Source organism: Homo sapiens, chromosome 3, assembly GCF_000001405.40.
Source record: "Homo sapiens chromosome 3, GRCh38.p14 Primary Assembly".
Lineage (NCBI taxonomy): Eukaryota > Metazoa > Chordata > Mammalia > Primates > Hominidae > Homo > Homo sapiens.
In genome coordinates this window covers 12,558,759-12,584,841 of record NC_000003.12, presented here as the reverse complement: position 1 = coordinate 12,584,841, position 26,083 = coordinate 12,558,759, and the positions used below count along the sequence as shown (strand labels likewise).

Below are 26,083 nucleotides of genomic sequence, written 5' to 3'. Positions count from 1 at the left end.
GCTCAGGGCTGCTAGAATGTGATTAAAGCATGGGTTGGTTCGTAAAGATGGCAATATAAGGTGGGAGTGTTTTGTTTTGTTTTATAGGGAGGGGACCCAGGTCCTCTACAAGATGGTGGGGGGCAGGGTACATCCTGTGTCTTTGAGACACAGCTAATGAGAGCATTCTTGGGCTTTGTTTCAGATCCTGTCTTCCATTGAGCTGCTCCAACACTCTCTACCGAAGATCAACCGGAGCGCTTCCGAGCCATCCTTGCATCGGGCAGCCCACACTGAGGATATCAATGCTTGCACGCTGACCACGTCCCCGAGGCTGCCTGTCTTCTAGTTGACTTTGCACCTGTCTTCAGGCTGCCAGGGGAGGAGGAGAAGCCAGCAGGCACCACTTTTCTGCTCCCTTTCTCCAGAGGCAGAACACATGTTTTCAGAGAAGCTGCTGCTAAGGACCTTCTAGACTGCTCACAGGGCCTTAACTTCATGTTGCCTTCTTTTCTATCCCTTTGGGCCCTGGGAGAAGGAAGCCATTTGCAGTGCTGGTGTGTCCTGCTCCCTCCCCACATTCCCCATGCTCAAGGCCCAGCCTTCTGTAGATGCGCAAGTGGATGTTGATGGTAGTACAAAAAGCAGGGGCCCAGCCCCAGCTGTTGGCTACATGAGTATTTAGAGGAAGTAAGGTAGCAGGCAGTCCAGCCCTGATGTGGAGACACATGGGATTTTGGAAATCAGCTTCTGGAGGAATGCATGTCACAGGCGGGACTTTCTTCAGAGAGTGGTGCAGCGCCAGACATTTTGCACATAAGGCACCAAACAGCCCAGGACTGCCGAGACTCTGGCCGCCCGAAGGAGCCTGCTTTGGTACTATGGAACTTTTCTTAGGGGACACGTCCTCCTTTCACAGCTTCTAAGGTGTCCAGTGCATTGGGATGGTTTTCCAGGCAAGGCACTCGGCCAATCCGCATCTCAGCCCTCTCAGGGAGCAGTCTTCCATCATGCTGAATTTTGTCTTCCAGGAGCTGCCCCTATGGGGCGGGGCCGCAGGGCCAGCCTTGTTTCTCTAACAAACAAACAAACAAACAGCCTTGTTTCTCTAGTCACATCATGTGTATACAAGGAAGCCAGGAATACAGGTTTTCTTGATGATTTGGGTTTTAATTTTGTTTTTATTGCACCTGACAAAATACAGTTATCTGATGGTCCCTCAATTATGTTATTTTAATAAAATAAATTAAATTTAGGTGTAATGGCTGGCTGTTACCTCCTTTTAAAGTAATTCTGAGCTCACAACTTGAATGCCCCATTTGTTCACCCTCTTCAGGAGCAGAATTCAAGAACAGGAAATGTGCCCAGAGCCTAGGCTGGGAATGAATTTGTAATTTAACCTTTGTACTCTTTGTAAACCTCTACTGAAGAGTTAAGTATAAAAATTAATTAAGCAGAAAGTACTCTAAACTCAGCTAATACCTTAAGTAATACATTTTATAAACTATTTATTTATTTGGTAGGTACAGCTTTTTTAAACACAAAAATAGATTAGATAAATTCCAGCTTGGAACAAGCTAGTGCTGGTTCACAAGGTTATGCTCACCCTTCAATTAAAATCAAAATGACTACAAGACTTGCCATCAGCTCTCTTCAGGACCACTGCTGGGTCAGAATCAGAAACCTTGGGTGCCATGAAATTTTTACAAAATTTCAAATCAAAGCCAGGCTTTGCAGCTAGATAATAGATCACTTGAGTACGAACCACACATGTAAGTGCACGTATATTTGAGTTCTCAATACAATTACCCTGATGGGCAAGAACCCACAGGTGAGAGCAGAGGCTTGGTTCCCCTAGAGGGCCCTGGCTGGAGGCCCCAACACCAACCAGACGACAGGAGGGCCAGACTGCTACCCAGTACTGTACCTCCTGCTCCTTCAAGAGCCTCCCTAAGGGAGAAGAAGATCTATACTTCCACTTTGTTTGCTGCACATGTGGCAACAAGATTGCTACCCTGATTTGGGACACTTGAGAGAACTTGAAAAAAATGACCACCCTTAAAGCCCTAGAAAAAAGTTGTATGTTTGTTAACAGCTATGCTGCGCTCACTTTGCATTGTGTGTTCTTGAAAGCTCTGTATAAATCAAAATTTTGACGACACACTAAATACACTAGAGAAATACACTATAGAGGAATCCTTTTATAGGGCTGAAGACTCCTTTGGTAAGAAAAATATGCTGCATTAGGGGCAGCTGCAAGTTTACTATTTCTGGGGAAGAAAAGATCAAAGGTAAGAGCCAGGTTTGTTTTTTAAAGCAATCAATCCAAACAGTTTGGGTGTTTGTTAGTTGTTACCCCTGAGGGGCTTGAGGTGTAACTATATCAGCTATAAAAATAGCAATTCCATACATTTAATTAGGTTACTTTATATCTTTCACTCTTCCCCATGGCTGTAATAATGGAGATTGAATGAGACTAAGGCTAAGCCCAACTCCACTCAAATCCAAGTCACACGTCACCTTGGCTGCAGTACAGGGAAGCTCCGCACACCCTGGCTTGGGAAAGTTTCGGCCGATGGAGCCCAAGATGCAGGGCAACCATCTACTCTTTAGGGTTCTGATGATTCCACTCCAGAAAGGTGCATGAAGAGGTCCCCGAGCTCTGTCATGTCGACATCTTCATTGTTGGGGACATGCCGGCTTTCTCGGTTCTCGATGAAATCCCAGAGCCGCACTGAATTAAAGAACTGCAAAAACAGCCAGTGGACATGCCTGGTTACTGCTAAGAGCAACAGGAAGGCTGCGTTCCTTGATCGTTCTTTTGCCTACCCCATTTCTCTGCCAGGAACGGTACCTGGAAATGCCCACAGCTGCTAAGTGTCCCCAACTAGAGATGGCTAAAGTCCTTACCCTCACAGTGCCTTGAGAACTGAGCTGTTTCCGAGGTTTCTCAGGCTCTGCTAGCCGCCCATCGGGGTAAGCATGGCGATAAAGACATTTGCTTCCAAATGGGCAGGTCCCCTTGCCTTGCTCAAAGTATTTACAGGCTTTTTTCCTGAAAAGCAGAAAGAAAAAGTCAAGAGGCTGGTGGGAAAATGAGGGGTCCAAACTGGGCCACTGCCTGCCTCCATCCTTACCACCCTTACGCCAGAGGTAGGTCAGCCTCACATTCTAGGTGGGGCAGCTGAGGCTGGGAGAGGTTGAGTGATTTGTCTCAGGTCACACACAGCTGGGATTCTGATTTCCAAGCAGGATAGGAAGTATCCCCACTTACCTGCAGCCTTGCAAAGGATATTAACCTGCCTGGGGACTTGCTGTGTGGAGACTGCAGTGCTCCACAGGCCCTCCGGCAGCTCCAGAGCACCTCCTGGGTCACCACAGAGCTAAGCCAGGCCTGGTCACTCCTCTGGGCACTAAGCTCTGAAGCTGGGCCACTTGTCTCTGCTCAAAGTTCCCTAGGTACCCCACCAAGCCAACTCTCCCCTTCCTCCTGGCCGCAGTGCTGTCAAGGTGGCTACAGGGAAAGCAGAGGGTTTTAGCAACTGCCTAAAGCCATAGGTCTCCTTCCAGTTTTCCTGTCTCCAACCTCGGCACCAGGGAGGGCTTCTTCACGCCTTATGTGCTTTGGACCCCTTCTCTGAACAGTGTTTTTCAATGCATAAAACATGGGTCTACAGCATACAGTGACCAAACAGTTCAAAATGTTTTCCCTCTCTCTTAATTCTACCATTCTCCCCACAGACCTCTATGTTAAGAACCCTGCCCAAGGAAACTCAATCAAATGAATTCCCATTTTGCTCAAATGAACTCTGGTTTATCCAATCATAAAGGATCCCAAACTGAAGTTAAAAAAAAAAAGATACCCAAGAATCCAGAGGGCCATCTCGGAGTACAGAGGAAGGGGAAAGTCACAGAAATAAAGCCAAACAACAGAAAGGGCACGCTGCTGTCAGGGGCAGCTGGGGTGTGTGACAGCGGGAGACAAGAACAGGGAAAGGAGGCTCCTGAATCCAGTGGTTTTCCGTCTTGTCAGATGGGATGGCCGCAGGCCGGTGGTGAAGTTCTCTGAGGACGGCTTCATAGCAGCATAAAGAAAAGCCCTCTGGCCGGGTGTGGTGGCTCACACCTGTAATTCCAGCATTTTGGGAGGCCAAGGTGGGTGGATCACTTGAGGTCAGGAGTTTGAGACCAGCCTGGCCAACACAGCGAAACCCCATCTCTACTAAAAATACACAAATGAGCTGGGTGTGGTGGCTGGCACCTGTAATCCCAGCTACTCGGGAGGCTGAGGCTGAGGCAGGAGAATTGCTTGAACCCAGGAGGTGGAGGCTGCAGTGAGCCAAGATTGTGCCACTGCACTCCAGCCTGGGAGACAGAGTGAGACTTCGTCTCACTGGGGGTGGTGGCGGGGGGGTAGGGTGGGGGGAGAGAGAACAAGCTCCCTGGCCAGCTGATCTGATTTGAGCACAGGTGGCTGGAGAGCAGGTGTGTGGACGACACATCCTCCAGGCCCCTGCTTGCCTGGAGTTCTGAGCGGACTTCAAATGACCGTGAGCAGTTTGCTCTCACCAGAGCCTGCTGGACAACTCCAGAGCATCCTAGCACACTGGCTATGAACTCGATCAGGTCAAACACATTATATACTGGTCCCCCACTCTCACAAGAATATTACTCTTTTTCCTCCCCCAGGCTTATCTGGTCACCAAGGCCAAAAGCCTCCAGTTCACTCTGACTCACTCTGTGTCCTCGGCTCTCACACCCAACTGTGTTCATTCTGTTTACAAATCACTTCCCAATCTCCCCTTCCTTTGGGTTCCCACACTTGTGGAAGCCTCTGGGGCCTGCCTGCCAGGGCCACTTCCTCACTGGCCTCCCTCCCACTCCCACCAGTTTCCACCTTCAGAGCAGCACGGAGGAGCTTCCCAACCTTTTTTTTTTCTTTAAAGAGATGAGGTCTCCCTATGTCTCCCCTGGACTTAAGCAATCTGCCCTCCTCAGCCTCCCAAAGTGCTGGGATTACAGGCATAAGCCACTGCGCCTGGCCCCAACCTGTTCTTAAAGACCATGGTCACACTGGGATTCAAGTGTCCCTTAGATTCCAGTCTGTAGGTCCCACCACATCCTTCTACACACCTGTTTCAATGCCAGGAGCCACTCCCAGTGTCCCCCAGACACAAAACCTACACCCTTCTGTGCCCATGTCCTTCCATCACTTCCCCCTACAGACAGGTGCTTCCTGCTTCATGGTTCAGGCTCCCATGCTGCTTCCCCTGGCAGCCCCCGGTGGATCCAAGTGCTTTCTCTGTTGTGATAGATGGTCCCTCATGAAGAACTGGTCACCAGCAAACCTGTATCATAATTGCCCTTTTGCAGTTTCCCATGAAGTTGTCTTACTTGGCGGGGCACAGTGGCTCACACCTATAATCCTAGCACTTTGGGAAGCTGAGGTGGGTAGATCATCTGAGGCCAGGAGTTCAAGACCAGCCTGGCCAACATGGCGAAACCCCATCCCTACTAAAAAAATACAAAAATTAGCTGGGTGTCGTGGCGCACACCTGTAATCCCAGCTACTCGGGAGGCTGAGGCAGAAGAATCACTTGAACCCTGGAGGCGGAGGTTGCAGTGAGCTGAAATCATGCCACTGCCAGCCTGGGTGACAGAGCGAGACTCGAAAGAAAAAAGAAATTGTCTTACTAATCTCTACATCCCCCAGTGGTGCTTAGCTAGAAGGTACCTGACCCATAGTGAGTACTCAGTAAATGTTTGTGGATTGCAAAAAACACAGTCATTAAAGGAAAGCAAAGCAAGGAAAGATCCAAATAGCAATAACAATCTCCAGACTGCTTTTCAGCAGAGCCCCTTTCTACAGGCTGGGACCCTTTTCTACAGGCTGGGGCCCTTTTCTACAAGCTGGGACCCCTCTGCTTGCCACGCCTTGCCCTCTTGTGGACACACAGGAAGATTGTATGAGGAAAAAATGGTAAAAAAAAAAAAAAAAAAAAAATCAAGCTTTAGTAAACTAATATGCAACATAAAGGAACCATTAAAAAAGGTAATGCATAGTTTCACTTTTAGTATGACAAGTAAACGCCTGCCATACCCAACCCTCCTGCAGATAAGTCTTAACACAAATATTTCAAGAAGACCTGAAGGCACCAGAGAATGAACAAACGCAGTTAGATTCTTTGGAGGAGTAAACACAAAGAAGAATAGCAATGGCAAAGGCTAAGTTACCTTTTTTAAAAAAGGTAGCTTTTGTGGCTCACATCTGTAATCCCAGCATTTTGGGAGGCCGAGGCAGGTGGATTGCCTGAGCTCAGGAGTTCAAGACCAGCCTGGGAAACACAGTGAAACCCTGTCTCTACTAAAATACAAAAATTAGCCAGGCGTGGCGGCATGCGCCTGTAGTCCCACCTTCTTGGGAGGCTGAGGCAGAAGTGCTTGAACCTGGAAGGCGGAGGTGGCAGTGAGCTGAGACTGTGCCACTGCACTCCAGCCTGGGCTACAAAGCAAGACTCCATCTCCAAAAAAAAAAAAAAAAAAAAAAAAAGAAGTAGCTCTTATCCTGGAGCAGGCCAAAATCATAACCACATGGGGTGGCTAAAACTCCAAGGGGAAATCCAATCTTTCTGGCCTGAAGAACTAAAAGACAAGAGTTCAAGGAAATCACAGCCATTGGAAAGTGAGGAAGCAATCCCACAAAGTAAGGGGCCTGTGAAAAAGTGCTCAAAGGCTGTGTATAAACTCTGCCCAAATCTGACTAACTCCCAAACCACACAGGAATGCGACAAAGTCAGCTACGAATGCAAAACCAGAACTGAGATCTGAACTGCTACCTGGGTTTGAGTTCAAACAATTTACCTGCCTGTTAAAAACAGCAACACTTGGCCAGGCGCAGTGGCTCATGCCTGTAATCCCAGCACTTTGGGAGGCCGAGGTGGGCGGATCACCTGAGGTCAGGAGTTTGAGACCAGCCAGGCTAACATGGTGAAACCCCGTTTCTACTAAAAATACAAAAAATTGGCCAGGTGCAGTGGTGCATGCCTGTAATCCCTGCTACTCGGGAGGCTGAGGCAGGAGAATCGCTTGAACCCGAGAGGCAGAGGTTGCAGTGAGCCGAGATTGTGCCACTGCACTCCAGCCTGGGCAACAAGAGTGAAACTCCGTCTCAAAAAAAAAAAAATCATCACTTTACAGATAAACCATAACAGAATCCTAAGTCTCTCTACAATGTAATATTTACAATGTCAAGGATAAAATCTAAAATTACTAGACATACGAAGAATCAGGAAAATGTGATCCATTCTTAAAAGACAACAGAGGTCAACTTCAAGATAACAAGGATTTCAAAGTAGCTGCTACAACTATGTTCAAGGAGATGAAAAGAAAAAAAGATTGAAAAAGAATGAATATCCCCAGAGATCTATGAACAATATAAAAAAACTATCATAAACGGAAGTAGAGTCCCAGCAGGAAAAGAAAAAAACAAGACAGAAAAAAAGTTAATGAAACAATAGCTAAAATTTCGCTCATCTTGGGGAGTGACATAAGCGTAGAGAAAAACCACTCCACTCCTAGGCAAAATATCAACATGCTGACAACCAGGATAAAGAGGAACATTTGAGGCCGGGCACGGTGGCTCATGCCTGTAATCCCAGCACTTTGGGAGGCCGAGGCAGGAGGATCACTTGAGCCTAGGAGTTCAAGACCAGCCTGGGCTACATGGCGAAACCTTGTCTCTACCAAAAAAAATTAGCCAATTAGCTGGGCATGGTGGCGCACACTACTGGTGGCCCCAGCTACTCAAGAGGCTCCTGCTTGAGCCCAGGAGGCTGAGGCTGCAGTGAGCTGAGATTGCACCACTGCACTCCAGCCTGGGCAACAGAGTGAGACCCTATCTCACCGAAAAAAAAAAAAAAAAAAAAAAAACACCAAAACTAAACAGGTCCACATCACCATGTCCTTGCTCATTGCTGCATCCCAGAGCCCAGCATGGTGCCTGAGAGAAGGAAGAGAGGAAGAGGCCCCTAAGACCACACTCCTGGGAAGGAGAACGAGGACACGGGCTGACAGCAGAGCCAGGCAGGCAGCAGGGGCACGTCGAAACTCAAAAGCACTTACCCCATCCCCTGTTTGAAAGCTTCAATCAACTCGTTCTTTTTATTCTGATCTTCCACCCAATACACACTTGGAATTACAAACTCTGATATCACACGGCATTCTGGACAAGACCTGAAATAAGAATTAGATTACTAAGGGAGAAGTCATGTTACGAAGCCTGGGCACACTCTCTGCTAAACCTCTTGCTCAACTGCCTCACCACTACAGGCATTTCCTTCACCAGAAATTCCAAAAGATGAAATCACAATCATCCAAGAACCTTATTTACTATTAACAAAATAGGGTTTCCCAATGAGAACACATGGACACATGTGGGGGAACATCACACACCGGGGCCTGTCGGTGCAGGGGCAAGGGGAGGGAGAACATCAGCACAAACAGCTAATGCATGCATGGCTGAAAACCTAGGTGATGGGTTGAGAGGTGCAGAAAACCACCGTGGCACATGGATACCCATGTAACAAAGCTACACATTCTGCACATGTACCCCAGAACTTAAAGCAAAAAAAATACACACACACACACACACACACACACACACACACACACACATATATGGTTTCCTCAACAAAAAAGACAGATGAAATAACCCTCATACATTGCTGGTGAGAATGTAAAAGGGTGCAGCCACTTTGAACAGAGTCTGGCAGATTCTCCAACAGTTTAATGTAGAGTTATTATACCATAAAACCTAGCAATCCCACGCCCAGGTGTATACCCAAGAGAAATGAAAACACATGCCCACATGCTGTGTTCACAAATGTTGACAGCAGCATTATTCATAATAGTTGCAAAGTTAAAACAGCCTAAATGTCCACTAGCTGAGGAATGGATAAGGGAAATGTGCTGCGTCCATACAATGGAACATATTCCGCCAGGAGAAGGGGACTCTGGCACATGCTACAGTCGGGATGAACTCTGACAACACTATGCTCAGTGAAAGGGGCCAGGCACAAAAGGCCCCAAATTCTATGATTCCATTTATAAGAAGTGTCCAGAATAGGCAACTCTGTAGAGACAGAAAGCGGATGAGTGGTGAGTTAAATTGTGGGCTTTTATCTCAATAGAGCAGTTGTTTCACCACACGATTTTAGGCAAATTACTTGACCCCCGCACCCCAGGCCTGTTTCCTAATCTGTAACTGAGGAGGGTCTTTGAGGGAATGAGATGAGCGGACAGATGTGGAGTTCTGAACAGTAGAACGCGTGCAGTAACCTCTCCACATGCCAGCTCTTCCCCTGTCCTGCTGGAGAATTTGAGACTCCTATGTTGGCCACATTGAGCACATCCCATGTGCCAGGCATCATGCAGAATGTTTTACATGCATTATTCCACTTCATCCTCAAATAACCCTATTTTCGTTTTTGGTGGGGGGAAAAAACGAAGCTCAAAATGATTAACAGGCAACTGGGCTACAGGCAGGTACTACTGGATTTCAAACACAAGGCTAGGAGATGAAAACAGGTCAGTGCCATTTAACACCTTTTTACACAGATCATCTTTGCTGAGTTCCTCCCCAACACCCAGAAAGCTTGGTAGGAATTGTTGCCCATCTTTTATAGGAACAGGCACTTAGGCTCAGGAAGAGTAAATGACTTGCTGAAGTTCATGCAGCCAGGGGCCAGAACTCACCAGTTACTCTTGAGGGTAACGGAGGGCTTAAAAGTGGACGGAATAAAGTCTCAAATCAAACATTCTCCTAGCTCCCACAGCTAAGACCCCTGGCTGTACTTACTTAATGATTGGGTTTTCAAACTGTTTGGCACACCGCCACTGCCGGATGCAGGACAAACAGTACGTGTGATTGCAATTGGAGAGAATCCCAAATCTCCTCTCAGAAGCAGAGGCCTTCTCCAGGATCACTTCCATGCAGATACTGCACACTTTGTCCTGGCTTGCCTGGAAGGCAAAGGCCTTTTCCATCTCGTGTTCGAACGTCAACATGCAGATCTGAAGCACAGACAGGAAGGAAGGCTTTGGTTGTGGGCCACTGAGGAGTGGCAGGAGCCCTAGGAGTAGCTGCAGCCACACTGCCACAGCTGAGATCAGGAAGGAACACTGACAGCGACTGCTGTGAGCAAAGGCCCAGGCTCCCCCAAGTCAGGACACTGACATCTCCCTCAGACCACACAAAGGACTTCAAACCATCACTGGTCCAGCCCCTTGCTTTCCTAGGAGGTGACATGGTCACCACCCATTTAGGACTGAGAACACGGAGATCCAAAAAGGTTAAACTGCAGTGGAGTCAGAGTCCGTAAGGACTGCGGCCCTAGTCCCCCAGCTCCTCTGGGCACTGTTTCCCCCGACTCTGAGCCATGTCTACATCAGAGATGCTGACTCGTCCTTACCATGAGGCTTGAGGCTGGCAGCCTAGTCCTATGTAAGAAGCACCACTTCTCCCCAAGAAAATGATTCAATGAATTCATTCATTCACTAGGCATGCCCTGAATTCCTTCTATGTGCTGGCATTTGAGCAAGAGTGAGAAGACCTAGGCCCAGCCCTTGTAAGCTCAGTCTGTCCAGATCTGAGACAAGCCAACACTCACCGCAGAGACCTCACACACTTGCATAAAGAAGACAGCTCTAACCCTCTGCTTCCCTGGAAGACAATGGAGAGTGTCTCCTTGTCCGCTGCCACATGGAGTCAGTACTAATTTACCTCTTGATTATCTAGGAATACGCTGTCCATTTAAACATGCCTTAGGCCAGGTGCAGTGGCTCACACCTGTAATCCCATTACTCTGGGAGGCCATGGTAAGAGGACTGCTTGATCTCAGGAGTTCAAGACCAGCCTAAGCAACATAGCAAGACCTCACCTCTGAAAAATAAAATAATTTTTTTTTTTTTTTGAGACAGAGTCTCTCTCTGTCGTCCAGGCTGGAGTGCGGTGGTGCAATCTCAGCTCGCTGCAAGCTCCACCTCCTGGGTTCAGACTATTCTCCTGCCTCAGCCTCCCAAGTAGCTGGGACTACAGGCGCCCGCCACCACACCCAGTTAACTTTTTGTATTTTTAGTAGAGACGGGGTTTCACCATGTTAGCCAGGATGGTCTCAATCTCCTGACCTTGTGATCCGCCTGCCTCGTCCTCCCAAAGTGCTGGGATTACAGGCGTGAGCCACTGTGCCCAGCCAAAATAAAATAAAATTTTAAAAGTTAGCCAAGCCACCACACCTGGCATTTTTAAATTTTTTTATTATTATTTTTCTTGAGACAGGGTCTCACTCTTATTGCCCAGGCTGTAGTGCAGTGGCACAATCTTGGCTCACTGCAACCTCTGCTTCCCAGGCTCGGGTGATCCTCCCACCTCAGTCCTGCCGAGTAGCTGGGACTACAGGTGTGCACCACCACACCTGGCTAATGTTTGTATTTTTTTTTTTTTGTAGAGACGGGGATCTTACCATGTTGCCCAGGCTGGTCTCAAACTCCTGGGGTCAAGCAATCTGCCTGCCTTGGCCTGCCAAAGTGCTGGGATTACAGGTGTGAGTCACCATGCCTGGCCCTCCCCCGCCTCTTATCCAGCTTCGTACCCTCTGCATCATGCATAGGGCCTAGCATAAGGCAAAGCCTCCCAAAACACTGCAGACATTAATGACTTTAAAAGGCCCTTCCAACAAGTGGCTCCTCAGATTCTATGATTTGGGCTCAAATCTTCCAAAACTTCACCTAGCTGGATCCCAACCATGAGGAAGTGTGAACCCAGGGAGGGAGGATGCTGTATCTGCATGTGATAGAGACATACACACAGACGACATACCATGGTCCTGAGCTAGATCTGTTCTTTGAACTTAGCATGATTTTATATTTCAGATACGACTTCTTTTTCTCTTTATTCTGAGTAATTAAAAATTGGCAAAATAGGCCGGGCATGGTGGCTCATGCCTGTAATCCCAGCACTTTGGGAGGCCAAGGCAGGCGGACAACTTGAGGTCAGGAGTTCGAGACCAGCCTGGCCAACGTGGTGAAACCCCATCTTTCCTAAAAATACAAAAAGTAGCCGGGTGTGGTGGTGGGCGCCTGTAATCCCAGCTACTCGGTGGGGCTGAGGCAGGAGGATCACCTGAGCCAGGGAAGCAGAGGTTGCAGTGAGCCGAGATTGCACCACTGTACTCCAGCCTGGGTGAGAGGGAGACTCCATTAAAAAAAAAAAATGGCAAAATGACTGCAGGAAAAAGAACCTGAAAACAGGATGTAAATATACCAGATACATAATATGGGTATTACTGGCAGGGGGATGCCTGTGGAAATACCAACAATTCTGTCACTTAGTACATTTCAGATTTCTTGAGTGTATATGGATGGCCTTCCGTGTCCTGTTCAGTACATTTCAGATTTCTTAACATGAGTTCATGCAAAGGTTTGTGACTTTACCTTTTCATGAGCCTTCCTCTGCTCTGGGTCGAATGGGTGCAAGACTTGCAGCCTACAGATTTCACACACCTCCCCGTGCAGGTAGACACAGGCATCCCCAAACCGGCACTCCCCAGCAGCTGCGTAGGGGCACAGCTGCTGCTCGTTGCTGTAGGAGCTGCTGGCCTCCACGTCATCAAGGCCACTCCTGATGGCATCCAGGTAGGAATGCGGCTTCATCTCGGGGCTGGGCTGGGGGTCGCTGCAGCTGCCTGGATTACTCACCATGCTCGGCTGGGTCTTCCTTTCAGCCATGCCAGAGAGATCTGAAAACAACACACAGCACACATGCACATGAAAATGGCCCCATTTTTCTGGTATGCCGTTAGCCAAAGCCTAACATATTAAGCTACTCTGACCTAAGAATTCCACTCTTGAGAACATATGGCAAAAAAAACACACCGAAGGGGAAAAATAAAAGGAATAGTATAAAATGTTCATAGTGACATTACTTATAATTACTTAAAAAAACAAAAAACAAAAAACAAAAATGGCAAGACAGGGAAATAGCAAAACAATAGGATATACTTATACAAAAGAACACTAAAGCCGTTTAAAATGGCAAATATGGAAATGTTAACACATGGACCAGTTAACACTAAAACAAACAAAAAAACAGTGAGAGCACTAGAACACAGTGTTTCCTTCATACCAGCAAAGGTAAAATCATTTTAAGTGAACTAGAATAGATGTCTAGAGCAAATCTGTGGGTCCTGAGGCCAGTGTAAACTGCCCCATGGTCACCCCTTCTCACGCCAGGAGCTGCTGCCTTCCCACTGCACACCTCCGAGCTTGTTTAGAGGTCACGTATTCTCACAGGATTACTCATTTGCTGAGGACAGAATCTGCCTACCTCATGGTAGCCAATTCCAAGAACTAGAAATCTCTTCACCTGGTGAGGACCAGCCAATAAAAACAACTTTTATGGCCAGGTGCAGTGGCTCTTGCCTGTAATCCCAGCACTTTGGGAGGCCGAGGCGGGCGGATCATGAGACCAAGAGTTTGAGACCAGCCTGGCCAACATAGTGAAACACTGTCTCTACTAAAAATACAAAAATTAGCTGGGCATGGTGGTGGGCACCTGTATTCCCAGCTACTCAGAAGGCTGAGGCAAGAGAATCCCTTGAACCCGGGAGGTGGAGATCATGCCACTGCACTGCAGCCTAGGCGACAGAGCGAGTCTCCATCTCCAAAAAAAAAACAAAAACAAAACAAACAAAAAACACAACAAAAAAACTTTTACAATTTGTAGCTTTCTTCCTCATCAAACCCTGTTTTAAGGCACAGACCATGCCCCAAACCCTAGTGTGCTATTCTTTTCCCAAAGGTGCAATCTAAACTGTCAAACACTGTCAGCATAAAAACTAAGACCATTCACTGGCCTAAAAGTCAAACAGTGAAACATGCTCTTTAGCAAAATATTTAGTTTTCTTTTTTTTTTTTTTTTTTTTGAGAGGGAGTCTCACTCTTGTCATCCAGGCTGGAGTGCAGTGGCGTGATCTCAGCTCACTACAATCTTTGCCTCCCGGGTTCAAGAAATTCTCCTGCCTCAGCCTCCCAAGTAGCTGGGATTACAGACACCTGCCACTACACCCGGCTAATTTTTGTATTTTTAGTAGAGACAGGGTTTCTACTAAACCATGTTGGCCAGGCTGGTCTCGAACTCCTGACCTCAGGTGATCCACCCGCCTCAGCCTCCCAAAGTGTTGGGGTTATAGGTGTGAGCCACTTTACCCAGACAAAATATTTACGTTTGAAATGAAGAGCTTGATGCTTCTCACCAGCTGGACAACCACCATATGAAGATGGAAGTTACATGTTGACAAAAAGATTGTGTTTTTATGTTTTACCAGGCCAGTCTTGGAGCTCAACCCAGCCTTGGGCACGAGGGCGAATGTATCATTTGAATGATCTGCAGCCACATGGAGCCTCTTCAGAACAGTTCTGAAGTCTCTCCGCGCAGACAATCTGGAGGTGTATTAGGTTAGGAGTCCTCTTGACAAGAGGAGGCTAGAAAGGAGCACCAAGCATTAACAAGAGTGCTATGCAAAAAGACGCAACAAAAGGCTTCCGCTTACTCACTTCGGTCTCTAAGAACCAATGTTCTCTTTTCACGCTTTCCGGGTTCATGTGAGTTAGTTTTCACAATGGATGCAGTGACCTCGGAAGGAGGGTGAGGACTGTGGAAAGCTGGGGAGGGCACACTGTGGGCCATGGTGCCCACAGCACCTCCAGCTGCAGCAGAGGGCCTCGTGTGGTCATATCTAAACAAAACACACAGCAGATGCATTACAGACATGCCACCCACACACATCTCCCACACTCCCCAGATGCCAATGGCCCTCCTTCTGCTGCACTTGTTGAGGTGAAGAAGGCGGCCATCTTTTCCAATATTTAAACTCTAACAGGATTATCGATTATTAACAGATGCTTGGCAATTCATTGTGAGGGGGACATTTGCTATCTATCACCTATGCTTAAGTGTCTCTGTGGGACTTGAGTGGGACAGACACACAGCACCAGACCACACAGAGAACCTGAAAGTTCCAAACAGATGTTGAGCTAAAATCTCCTGATGCCTGACTGACCCAGTATTCTTTTGAGCAGGAGTCCCCAAAATGCTGACAAGGGCCAATGATCTCTCCCTGACTGTCTCTCTTGGCACTCATTGACAGGGGAAGACCAACGTGGGCCTACTTCCATCATCTCCCACTGCACTGCAGAGAAAAAGGAGGGAAGGAAGCTTTGCAGTCTAGAAAGAAAAGATCGGCTCTTTGCTACAAAAGCATGAACAAGTTTCCGGAATTGTGTACAATTTTATAACTATATATTCATAAGAATAAGGCTGAAAAGTAGTTTTAAAAAATGAAAATTAGGCCAGGCACGGTGGCTCACGCCTGTAATTCCAGCACTTTGGGAAGCTGAGGCGGGAGGATCACGAGGTCAGGAGTTAGAGACCAGCCTGACCAACATGGTGAAACCCCATCTCTACTAAAAATACAAAAAAAAAAAAAATCAGCCAGGCGTAGTGGCAGATGCCTGTAATCTCAGCTACTTGGGAGGCTGAGGCAGGAGAACCCTGGAGGCGGAGGTTGCAGAGAACTGAGATCGCACCACTGCCCTCCAGCCTGGGCAACAGTGAGAGACTCTATCTCAAAAAAAAAAAGAAAAGAAAATTAGTTTTAGGGTACTGAAACTGAGGTTTTAAACTTATTTGCCATACTTTTTGTGATGTTGCCATATTACTTTTACATTAAAATTTCCCCCTTATCAAGACCCATTCTCCAAATGAAATCAGTGTCACAGCTGGAATCTGTTGCAGAGTCCTTGCCTGCACCGAGTTCCATAGGCACAGTAGCCCTTCTGGTAGTACTTGCAGATGGTGGACGGTTTGCTGTTTGCCAAGTCATGTGAGAATAGGCACTGACTTCCTTCCCGACACACACCATGCATAAAATACCTGCAGAGACAAGCACAGGCATACAACTTTTAGAAGCACATTTTGCTTTATAAAATCAGCTTATTCTTGAACTTAGCATACAAACATTTACCAGGCATATATTATGTATAAAGGCTCTATTAGGCACTGGAGAGAGATCTATATATTTCCTTGATTCTACAACAGTGATTTCAGAGGCACTACAACTGATTCAATGACAGCTTTTCTGAAAGAAAAACAAATGATCCCATATATTTCTATGTGAAGATATATCTTCCTGATTTGAGATATGTTCAATGTGAGCCACATAATTGAGAAAACACTCTGTGAAAAACTGTTCTCTCTGTTCTCAAGGAGCTTAAAGGGCATGACTAACGAAACCAGAAGATCTGGGCTCAAGACCCAGCTCTGCCACTTAAGAACATGTCACAAAACCAACTTCCCTGGGCCTTGCTACCTTTCCCTATAAAATGAAGATTATACTACCCACTTAACTGGTCGTGGTGAGGATCAAATACCATAGTGTGGTATCAAAAGATATACACAGATGCTCCTTGACTAATGATGGAGTTACATCCCAATAAAGCCACTGTTTTTTGTTTTTTGTTTTGAGATGGAGTCTCTCTGTCACCCAGGCTGAAGTGCAATGGCACAGTCTCAGCTCACTGCAACCTCTGCCTTCCGGGTTCAAGCGATTCTCCTAGCTCAGCCTGGGCTACCTTACTTATGCTTAGAACACTTACATCAGCCTACAGTTGGGCCAAATCATCTAACACAAAATCTATTTTACAATAAAGTGTAGAATAATCTCATGCAATTTATTGAACACCGTACTGAAAGTGAGAAACAGAAAGGTTGTATGGGTACTTGTAGTTTTTAATGAAAGCTGTTTCTCATACATTGTTTCAGATGTTTCAGAATATCAGATGTATCACATGTTCTGTATCAGAATATTCCACTGAGATATCAGATCCTGGCCTTGAAGAATAAGTGGTACAGGAATACCTGGGAGGCTAACTCTGTCCAGACAGGGTAGAGAGACCTGAGTGAATACTCAAACAGTAGAGACCCTAGATGAACATGTCTTGATATTAAAGATAAACTAGGCTGGGTGTGGTGGCTCACACCTGTAATCCTAGTACTTTGGGAGGCCAAGGCGGGCGCATCACCTGAGGTCGGGGGTTCCAGACCAGTCTGACCAACATGGAGAAACCCCGTCTCTACTAAAAAAAATACAAAATTAGTCAGGAGTGGAGGTGCATGCCTGTAATCCCAGCTACTTGGGAGGCTGAGGCAGGAGAATCGCTTGAACTCAGGAGGTGGAGGTTGCGGTGAGCCGAGATTGCGCCATTGCACTCCAGCCTGGGTGACAAGAGCAAAAACTCTGTCTCAAAAAAAAAAAAAAAAAAAAAAAGATAAACTAGCCAGGGCAACAAAGGGAGACCCTAAAATTTAAAAATTAGCCTAGCATGGTGGTATGCACCTGTGGTTCAGCTACTCAGGAGAGTGAGACAGGAGGATTGCTTAAACCCAGGAGTTCAAGGCTGCAGTAGCCATGATTGTGCCACTGCACTCTAGCCTGGGTGACAGCAAGATCCTGTCTCACAAAAGAAAAAAAAAAAGTAAACTAGTGTTAGAGTAGAAGTATTTTAGACACACCCTAATAAGGCTTAAAAAAAAAAAACACAAGCTGATAGCAAGTATATAACTTACTGTCAGCCAAAACAAACTTTAAAGGAAGACAATACAATCCAAATGCTCAGAAACTCACAATGCTTGGCATCCAATCATAAATTACTAGATATGCCAAAAAGCAGAAAATAATGTGACCTATAACCAGGAGAAAAATAAAGAACAGGAATTACAGAGATGATGGAATCAGCAAAATAAGACCTTAAGAACAGCTATTATACATATGCTCAATATGCTGAAAGATTTAAAGAAAAACATAAACATAATGTGGAGAGAAATGGATGATTTAAATAAGACCAAATACTAGGTGTGGTGGCTCACGCCTATAATCCCAGCGCTTTGGGAGACTGAGGTGGGTGGATGACCAGAGGTCAGGAGTTCGAAACCAGCCTGGTCAACATGGTGAAACACCATCTCTATTAAAAATACAAAAATTAGCCAGGTGTGGTGGCAGGTGCCTGTAATCCCAGCTACTTGGGAGGCTGAGGCAGGAGAATCACCTGAACCCTGGAGGCGGAGGTTGCAGTGAGCCAAGATCGCGCCATTGCACTCCAGCCTGGGCAATAAGAGCGAAACTCCACCTCAAAACAAAACAAAACAAAAAACAAATGAAACTTCTAGAAGTGAAAAATACAATGTCTGAAATGAGAATTACATTAGATGAGTTTAGTAGATGGGATACTACAAAGGAAAATATCAGAATACTTGAAGACACAGAATAGAAACCATCTGAGAGAGAGAGAGAGAGAAACAAACTTGCTTCTGACTACCAAGGAGCATGGATCTTGGCTTCTCACTGTAAAAAAACAAAACAAAACAAAACAAACCCAACTGAAAAATGAAACAAAATATGTGAAACAACTGCTTTCAGACAATAGAAAAAAGGACTGGTCCTTAAGAGAAGGGAAACACAGGAAGTAAGCCCCACATTTAGTCTGACTTCCTACCTGGAGGCATATTCTAGGTCTTGGTACTGGGAGTAGAACCTCAGGCAAATCACAGAGATTGAGTTTAGGGAGGCTGCAGGGATTCTTTAAAGATCCATAAATAGTCTGGGCTCAGAGGCTCATGCCCGTAATCCCACCACTTCAGGAGGCCAAGGTGTGAGGACTGCTTGAACCCAGGAGTTTGAGGTCAGCCTGGGCAACATGGCAAAACCCAATCTGTATAAAAAATACAAAAATCAGCCGTGCATGATGGCTACTTGGGGGCCTGAGGTGGGAGGACTGCTTGAGCCCAGAAGGAGAGAGCCTGCAGTGAGCTCTGTTTGCACCACTGTACTCCAGCCTGGGTGACAAAGCAAGACCCTGTCTCAAAACAAACAAAAAAACAAACAAAAAACCCTGTAAATAGAACCACACATAGGCCGCATGCAGTGGCTCATGCCTGTAATCCCAGCACTTTGGGAGGCCAAGGTGAGTGGATTGCTTGAGCTCAGGAGTTTGAGATGAGACTGGGCAACATGGTGAAACCTCGTCTCTACCAAAAAATATACAAAAAATTAGCCAGGCACGGTAGCGTGCACCTGTGCTCCCAGCTACTTGGGAAGATGAGGTAGGAGGATCGATTGAGCCCAGGAGGCAGTGGTTGCAATAAGCCAAGATCATGCTGCTGCACTCTAGCCTGGGTGACAGAGTGAGACCCTGTCTCCCAAAAAAAAAAAAAAAAAAAAAAAAAAAGGTAAGTTGGGGAAAGAATCTTTTCAACAAATGATGCTGGACCCAAAATCGACTTGGAAAAAACTTAAATATGTACCTGCTGATATGACCCAAAATGAAGTATAAAACAACCTATGACGTATTCTAGCCAGAAACAATTAATTTGAATCCACAAAACTCCAGATCTAACATCCAGTTCATAGAAAATACAGGAGACTGGGGACAACCTATGAAAGACATCTCGAGAAAACAACCAAATAAATACAAAAGAGGCTGTACGTGGGACCTAGGCCTACTGTCTTTATAAGTGCCATGTAACTAAAGGAGGCTGAGTTTGGAAGACAGTTTGACAGTTTCTTAAAAAATGTAAACATAAATCTACCATATGACCCAACAATTCTACGCCTAGGTATGTACCCAAGAAAATGAAAATCTATGTCCACACAAATACTTGTACATGAATGTCCAAAGCAGCACTATGCATAACAGCCAAAAAGTGGAAACAATCCAAATGTCCATCAACTGATGAACAGACAGAGAAAATGTGATTTATCCATACAATGGGCTCTTATCCAGCCATAAAAAGGAAAGAAGTACTGGCACACACTACAACATGGGTGAACCTTGAAAACATTACGCAGAGTGAAAGAAGCTGGACACAAAAGACCACATGTTGCATGATTCCATTTATATGCAATGTCAGAAAAGGCAAATCTACAGAGACAAAAAGTAGATTAAGTGGTTGCCTAGGGTTGGGAGGAGAGAAGTGAGGGTGACTGTTAATGGGCACAAGGGATCTTTTGGGGGTGATAGAAATGTCCTAAAATTTAACTGTGGTGATGGTTGTACAACTTTGTAAATTCATTAAAAAGTTTTGCACTGTACACTTCAAACAGGTAAATTTTATGGTATATAAGTTATACCTCAGAAAAAGCTGTTAAAAAAGAGAAAAAAGGGAAGGGACAATGCTAGGTTAGCAGACAGAACACAAGGGACATAACCAGATGCAATACTTACCTCTGGACTAGAATCTGGTTTCAACAAACCAGATACAAAAGACATTTTTGAAACCAGATATTTTGAAAGATATTTTGAAATAAATGTGAGTATGGACTAGGTATAAAATGAAAATTTATTAATATGGAAAGTTAAACACAATTAACTGAGAAGAGTAGATTATAAAACAGCTAATGGTGCAGCTTCTATAGAAAAACAGTACGGAAGTTCCTTAAAAAATTAAAAATATATTTACCATATGATCCGGCAATTCCACTTCTGGGTATAGACACAAAATAATTCAGGCCAGGCCCAGTGGCTCACGCCTGTAATCCCAGAACTGTGGGAGGCCGAGGTGGGTGGATCACCTGAGGTCAGGAATTTGAGACCAGCCGGATCAACATGGTGAAACCCCATCTCTACTAAAAATACAAAAATTAGCCGGGCGTGGTGGTGGGCGCCTGTAATCCCAGCTACTTTGGGGGCCGAGGCAGGAGAATCACTTGAACCTGGGAGGGAGAGGTTGCAGTGAGCCAAGATCACGCCACTGCACTCCAGCCTGGGCAACAGAGTGAATCTGTTTCAAAAAAAATAGAAGACTTCAAAGTAGGGACTCAAACAAACATTTGCACACCCGTGTTCATACCAGCATTATTCACAATAGCCAAAAGGTGGAAGCAACTCAAGCGTGCGCTAATGGACGAATGCATAAACAAGATGTGGTCTATCCATACAATCAAGCTTAAAAAGAAAGGTGATTCTGGCCGGGTGTGGTGGCTCACACCCGTAATCCCAGCACTTTGGGAGGCCGAGGCAGGCGGATCATGAGGTCAGGAGTTCAAGACCAGCCTGGCCAACATGGTGAAACCCCGTCTCTACTAAAAATACAAAAAGTAGCCGGGCATGGTGGCAGGTGCCTGTAATCCCAGCTACTCGGGAAGCTGAGGCATGAGAATCGCTTGAACTCAGGAGGCGGAGGCTGCAGTGAGCCGAGATCGTGCCACTGCACTCCAGCCTGGCGACAGAGTGAGACTCCGTCTCAGGAAAAAAAAAAAAAAAAAAAAAAGAACTAGACAACAGGAGGGAATGGTATGCAAGGAATGCCAGGGAGGCCCGAGAGGCCCAGACTGCTGGTGTCTCCAGAGAAAGGGTACTAGTGAACATGCTGCACATCCGCCCCAATCAGAAACCTCTGACTTCTCCACCTGTTTCTCTCCCCAAAAGCAGAGGAAGTGCTGACCAGACCTACCTGACAGTTTATTTTTTTCCCAGGGAAATTATAAAAGGATATTCTAGTATATAAGTCAGTCTCTCATGCGTTTGGCTAGTATGAGCCACCTCTATGTACACCAACAGAATCAAATTTCTGAGCCTACAAAATGAGAACTGGACCTCATGACTTAAGTGACTATACAATGGTGCCATCCTACAGCCTTTGCTAGGTAGTCAGCTAGGCTTTCCCCAGGAAACACCCTCTTGTGGCCTACCATTAGATCAGCAGTCCCCAATCTTTTTGGAGCCAGGGACCAGTTTTATGGAAGACAATTTTTCCACGGAATGGGGGGATGGGGGATGGTTTCAGGATGATTCAAGCACATTACATTTATTGTGCACTTTATTATTATAATATATAATGAAATAAGTATACAACTCACCATAGTGTAGAATCAGTGGAACACTGAGCTTGTTTTTCTGCAACTAGATGGTCCCATCTGGGGGTCATGGGAGACAGTGACAGTTCATCAGGCATTAGATTCTCATAAGAAGCACACAACGTAGATCCCTCACATGCACAGCTGACAATAGGGTTAGTGCTTCTATTAGAATCTAATGCTGCTGCTGATCTGACAGGAGGTGGAGCTCAGGTGGTAATGTGAGTGATGGGGAGTGGCTATAAACACAGATAAAGCTTTGCTCACTTGCCCACTACTCACCTCCTGCTGTGTGGCCTGGTTCCTAAAAGGCCATAGACTGGTTGGGGACCACTGCACTAGATCAGACATTGTGCAGTAATTTGCCATAAGGCTGTTAAAGTTTTATTTTTTAAAAAGAAAAAGCACAAACAGAAGCTGGGAAACTTTTTGTTAGAAACTTAGAGTTCCTGTTATTTACAATACCGATTTTATAAATGCACAGAAGAGAGTTACACAGCAGATGTGAGACTGCTATCCTTAGGAAGGTCTGCTTCCAAGGCTGCCCCTTGCCTGGCATCTGGGAACTTGGCTAGTAACAGTTCTCTACACAGATACAAAATTTTCCCTAAATGATGGAGAGTGTCTCGCTGTGTCTAAACTGATGTACAATGTAGTTCATGCTGAAAACCTGCTTGCCTTCTGGGAGTCTGGAATTTTGGTTCATGCTAGGCAGAGGGTGCCTATGTGACCAGCTTGGGCACTGAATCCCTAATGGGCTTCCCTGGACACATGTTGCTGCATTTTCATTGCTGTGTGGCCCTCTCAGGGAGGGACAGATGTAGGAAGCCTGCACCCAGGCTCCTCCAGACCCCCCATGTCTTCTGCCATCATGATCTGGCTGTGACCCCTTACTAGATATGGTAATAATCTCAGCCTTGAATACAGCTGTATACTGGGACCCACTTGTCCTAGTTCTAGACAGTCTCTGGATTTGGGGTGGTCTTGGAGATCCCAAACACAAAAGTAGAGTATACATCTAAGCAGTTTGAGAATTATTTTTGAGAAATGCTACTCAAGACTGCAATATTTCAATTGTCCTCAGACATGGTAATCTTTGAAGGTATAATAATTTAAAAAAAAAAGTCAGTGCCAAGAGCCAAGTCTGAATGACAAAGAGGTATCAGGATTAGTAAACTCATAAATACTGAAAGAGGACAGGTTCAAAGTGGCAACATAAGCAGTTAAACAAAAGTGATATCGAATAAATACTGTATAGTTTCTTTCCTTTTCTCGGGTAGAGACAGGATCTTGCTATGTTGCCCAGGCTGGTCTCAAACTCCAGGGCTCAAGTGATCTTCCTACCTCAGCCTCCCCAAGTGCTGGGATTATAGGAATGAGCCACTGCACCAGCCAATACTGTATTGTTTCTTTTGAAGCAATTAGAACAGAAAATTTCCTGAAAGAACCAGGGTGGAAGACTACCACAGGCCCTCTACCAGATACTATTTGTTAACAAGGCAGACAAGAAGAAAGACTTTTTTAGGTAGTGGTCTCCTGCAAGGATGCCTTTTATAATTCTACCTCCGCCTTCCATACGTCCTATCCAGAAAACTTGCCTTCCAAACTGCACTAATTATCTCTTCCACTAAAATACAAATATTTAACTGCCAACCAGAGCTTCTAGTTAATTTTGCCATTTATAAGCTGGTGACTTCATAAAAGCCACTTCACTTCTGTAAGTGACTGAGCTGAGATTTAAACAGATTCAAAAATAATTTCTAGACCACCATCACTGCCTTCAAGAAAGGAAAGTATGAAATGAGAGTTATGTAAGAGGTGAAGTCAGCCCAGTCCTATTTTTGTAGCATATGTCACCATTTCCACTCCCCAGTGACAAGCACAAAGCCACCTAGAGCACATCCTGCTTGTCCTTTGGGGCATCTCTGTCATGTGCTTATAGTCACTCCTCTCCATCTATGTTATACTGATCTTACTCCAAGCCTCTTTCATGTTGCGCTTTGTAATGAATTTCCAACTGCTCAACCTTTCTGATGGACAAACCGCCCCTCATATCTTCCAAGAGAGACGACTGAGACATGAACTGGAGGAGGGGAGAGACGACTAGGTGGGTGAAGTGCATAGCTGGAGACTCAGAGCAGGTAGGTTCTTTCTGGGGGACACTCCAAAGGGGTGTTACCCTGGGTAAACCCAAAAGACTGTTTCAGACAGTATGGCTATTATACACTGCAGAGCATATCAGGTTCACTGCTGGCCACAGAACCACCAGCAGCTCCAGCAGCAGCAGTGCTAAGCAAAACAATCAATCTGGTTTCTTACAGGCCCTTGAATGTTGCCTGTTTAGCAAAACGCTTTTGCAAATCACTTCCAAGTATACAGGTAATTTGCATCCTCAGTGTCTTTTTTTTTTTTTTTTTTTACATTTTCCTACATATTTTCACAGGCTAAAATTTTACGGCTATACTCCTTGTGACAGCAGATCCACTGAGGGGGAAGGAAGCAAATGGTAGGCACTGTGGCAGGCTTGCAATAAATGTACTGATTAGAGGCGGGAATGAAATGAAGTACAGTGTGGTGGTGAAGACACTGAAGTCAGACTGCTTGCTATGTGAGCTTAAGCAAGTTATTTAAGTCACTGAGCCTCAGTTTCCCCATCTGTAATGTGATTATAATAACTGCACTTACTTCATAGACTGCTATGATAGACTACTGGGACATTTAACTGAGAAAATGCATGTAAGTGCTCATCCTAATACAAAATAAATGGTTTGTTGCTATTATTTAATTTTTAAACAGCCCTGCCGGTTAGGCATTACCATCCTCATTTCACAGATGAGGCAGTTGTTGCACAGGTGGTACCAGGATTAGAATCCAGAACTGCCCAACCCTGGGGCTCAAACTCTTCCTACCACCTGCCAGCTGAAAAGATCCCCCATGTTTTGTGACTTTCAAAGAATCAAAAGCCCCCTAGGTTTGACTATCTTAGGACAATGAAATCCTGTGTCTTCTAATAGTGATTATGAGATGCAGGGAAGCTCTATCACAAGAGGAGAAGGTGAAATAAACTGGTTACTAAGCTATAATAAGGGCCTCCCCCAGGGCTCCGAAAACAGACTGGAAGACAGGGAGATGGTTGTGGGGGAGGGGAATCAGCAAAAAGGCACAGATTGAGATTCTGGATAGAGCGGCATGTCAAGGAATCAGAAGAGCTGACTGACAGCATAACTGTACGAGCAGTCATTTTTACCACTCCAGGCAATAAAAACATGGAGTGTCTTTGTCATTAGGTTTGAGACTCCTAGCATTTGATAAGCAACTCTTGGAGATACATAATATCTAACAGATTGGAAGCAAAACTGACATTATTCTGCTGTCATTCAAAATAAACATGTACATCACATCCCACAGTCAGGAAAACAAACCTAAAACTTTGTGACCTGAGATTAAAAAAAACAAAAAAACAAACAAAACCCACAAAAAACCGCACACGCTGCTTAGATCTGGTCCCCAAAATAAATCATACCTTGAACATTTCCTATAAATTATCAATGTCTAGAGACAAGGCTTTTGTTAATGAGATAATAAAGTGAGAAAAGCTTTTGGTAGATAAGCTGGTAGAAAAGTTGATGGTAGATAAACACACTAATGTAAACTTGGTACTCTTGGTCATATTGGTTTTTTCCCACTTAAAACACCTGTTATGTTTTTTATTTGGCAAGGCAGTCATCGGGAGCCCTGACTCCTTTACACCCTTTTGTGAGTAAACTTCTTTGCAGTTTTACATATCCTTGTATGAGTTTCCTTTCATGGGAACACATTAAAAGCTTTGATAAGTCCTGCAATAAATAAATTTTAATTTAGCATTTCAAAACTTATCTGGAGGCCCTACAGTCTATGAGGGCATGAACTTTGATTTCACACCTCTGTCACTTGGAAGCTAAATGACCTTAGGCAAGTCGCTTCAATGCTGAGGCTCAGTTTTACGATCTGTGGAAGAGCGCTGGTTGCTGGATTATACACTACAGTACCTAAGAGCCGCAGCACATTGTAAGTCCCCAACAAACATGACTAAACACTTAAACAGAAGTGATCCCTTCTCAACATTCCAACCCAATCTTCATTTATATGGAGCAACATCC

At 45.4% G+C, this 26,083-nt stretch overlaps 3 protein-coding genes across 21 annotated transcripts in view, besides 2 other annotated features; 2 read left to right on the top strand and 1 right to left on the bottom strand.

Moving 5' to 3' along the window:
• Positions 1-1,241, top strand: part of RAF1 (Raf-1 proto-oncogene, serine/threonine kinase) — an 80,517-nt gene extending 79,276 nt beyond the window's left edge. For all 16 annotated transcript variants that reach the window (NR_148942.3, NR_148941.3, NR_148940.3 and 13 more), the window contains one exon: positions 185-1,241. Coding sequence is in view for 13 of the 16 variants with exons in the window: in NM_001354695.3 (NP_001341624.1) it covers positions 185-328 (144 nt within the window). In the remaining 3 variants the exon portion in view is untranslated. The remainder of the gene's footprint in view (positions 1-184) is intronic.
• MKRN2 (makorin ring finger protein 2) overlaps positions 1,129-26,083 on the bottom strand; it is a 26,627-nt gene continuing 1,672 nt past the window's right edge. The window contains exons 2-8 of one of the 2 annotated variants that reach the window (NM_014160.5): positions 15,839-15,967; positions 14,590-14,771; positions 12,469-12,773; positions 9,836-10,050; positions 8,101-8,211; positions 2,890-3,034; positions 1,129-2,726 (exon numbers count right to left, since the gene is read on the bottom strand). In NM_014160.5, coding sequence (NP_054879.3) covers positions 2,589-2,726; positions 2,890-3,034; positions 8,101-8,211; positions 9,836-10,050; positions 12,469-12,773; positions 14,590-14,771; positions 15,839-15,967 — 1,225 coding nt within the window. In that variant the 3' untranslated portion in view covers positions 1,129-2,588. The remainder of the gene's footprint in view (positions 2,727-2,889; positions 3,035-8,100; positions 8,212-9,835; positions 10,051-12,468; positions 12,774-14,589; positions 14,772-15,838; positions 15,968-26,083) is intronic. The other variant, NM_001271707.2, reaches the window with a different exon arrangement.
• Positions 23,621-23,710: an enhancer, noted in NCBI's record as "active region_19446". NCBI's record gives its function as "activates an Ori minimal core promoter by ATAC-STARR-seq in GM12878 lymphoblastoid cells {active_cell/tissue: GM12878}" and the evidence as "EXISTENCE:reporter gene assay evidence [ECO:0000049][PMID:35858748]".
• MKRN2OS (MKRN2 opposite strand) overlaps positions 23,843-26,083 on the top strand; it is a 21,224-nt gene continuing 18,983 nt past the window's right edge. For all 3 annotated transcript variants that reach the window (NR_165360.1, NM_001378008.1, NM_001378007.1), the window contains exon 1: positions 23,843-24,085. The gene's annotated coding sequence lies outside the window, so the exon portion shown is untranslated. The remainder of the gene's footprint in view (positions 24,086-26,083) is intronic.
• Positions 23,891-24,070: an enhancer, noted in NCBI's record as "active region_19445". NCBI's record gives its function as "activates an Ori minimal core promoter by ATAC-STARR-seq in GM12878 lymphoblastoid cells {active_cell/tissue: GM12878}" and the evidence as "EXISTENCE:reporter gene assay evidence [ECO:0000049][PMID:35858748]".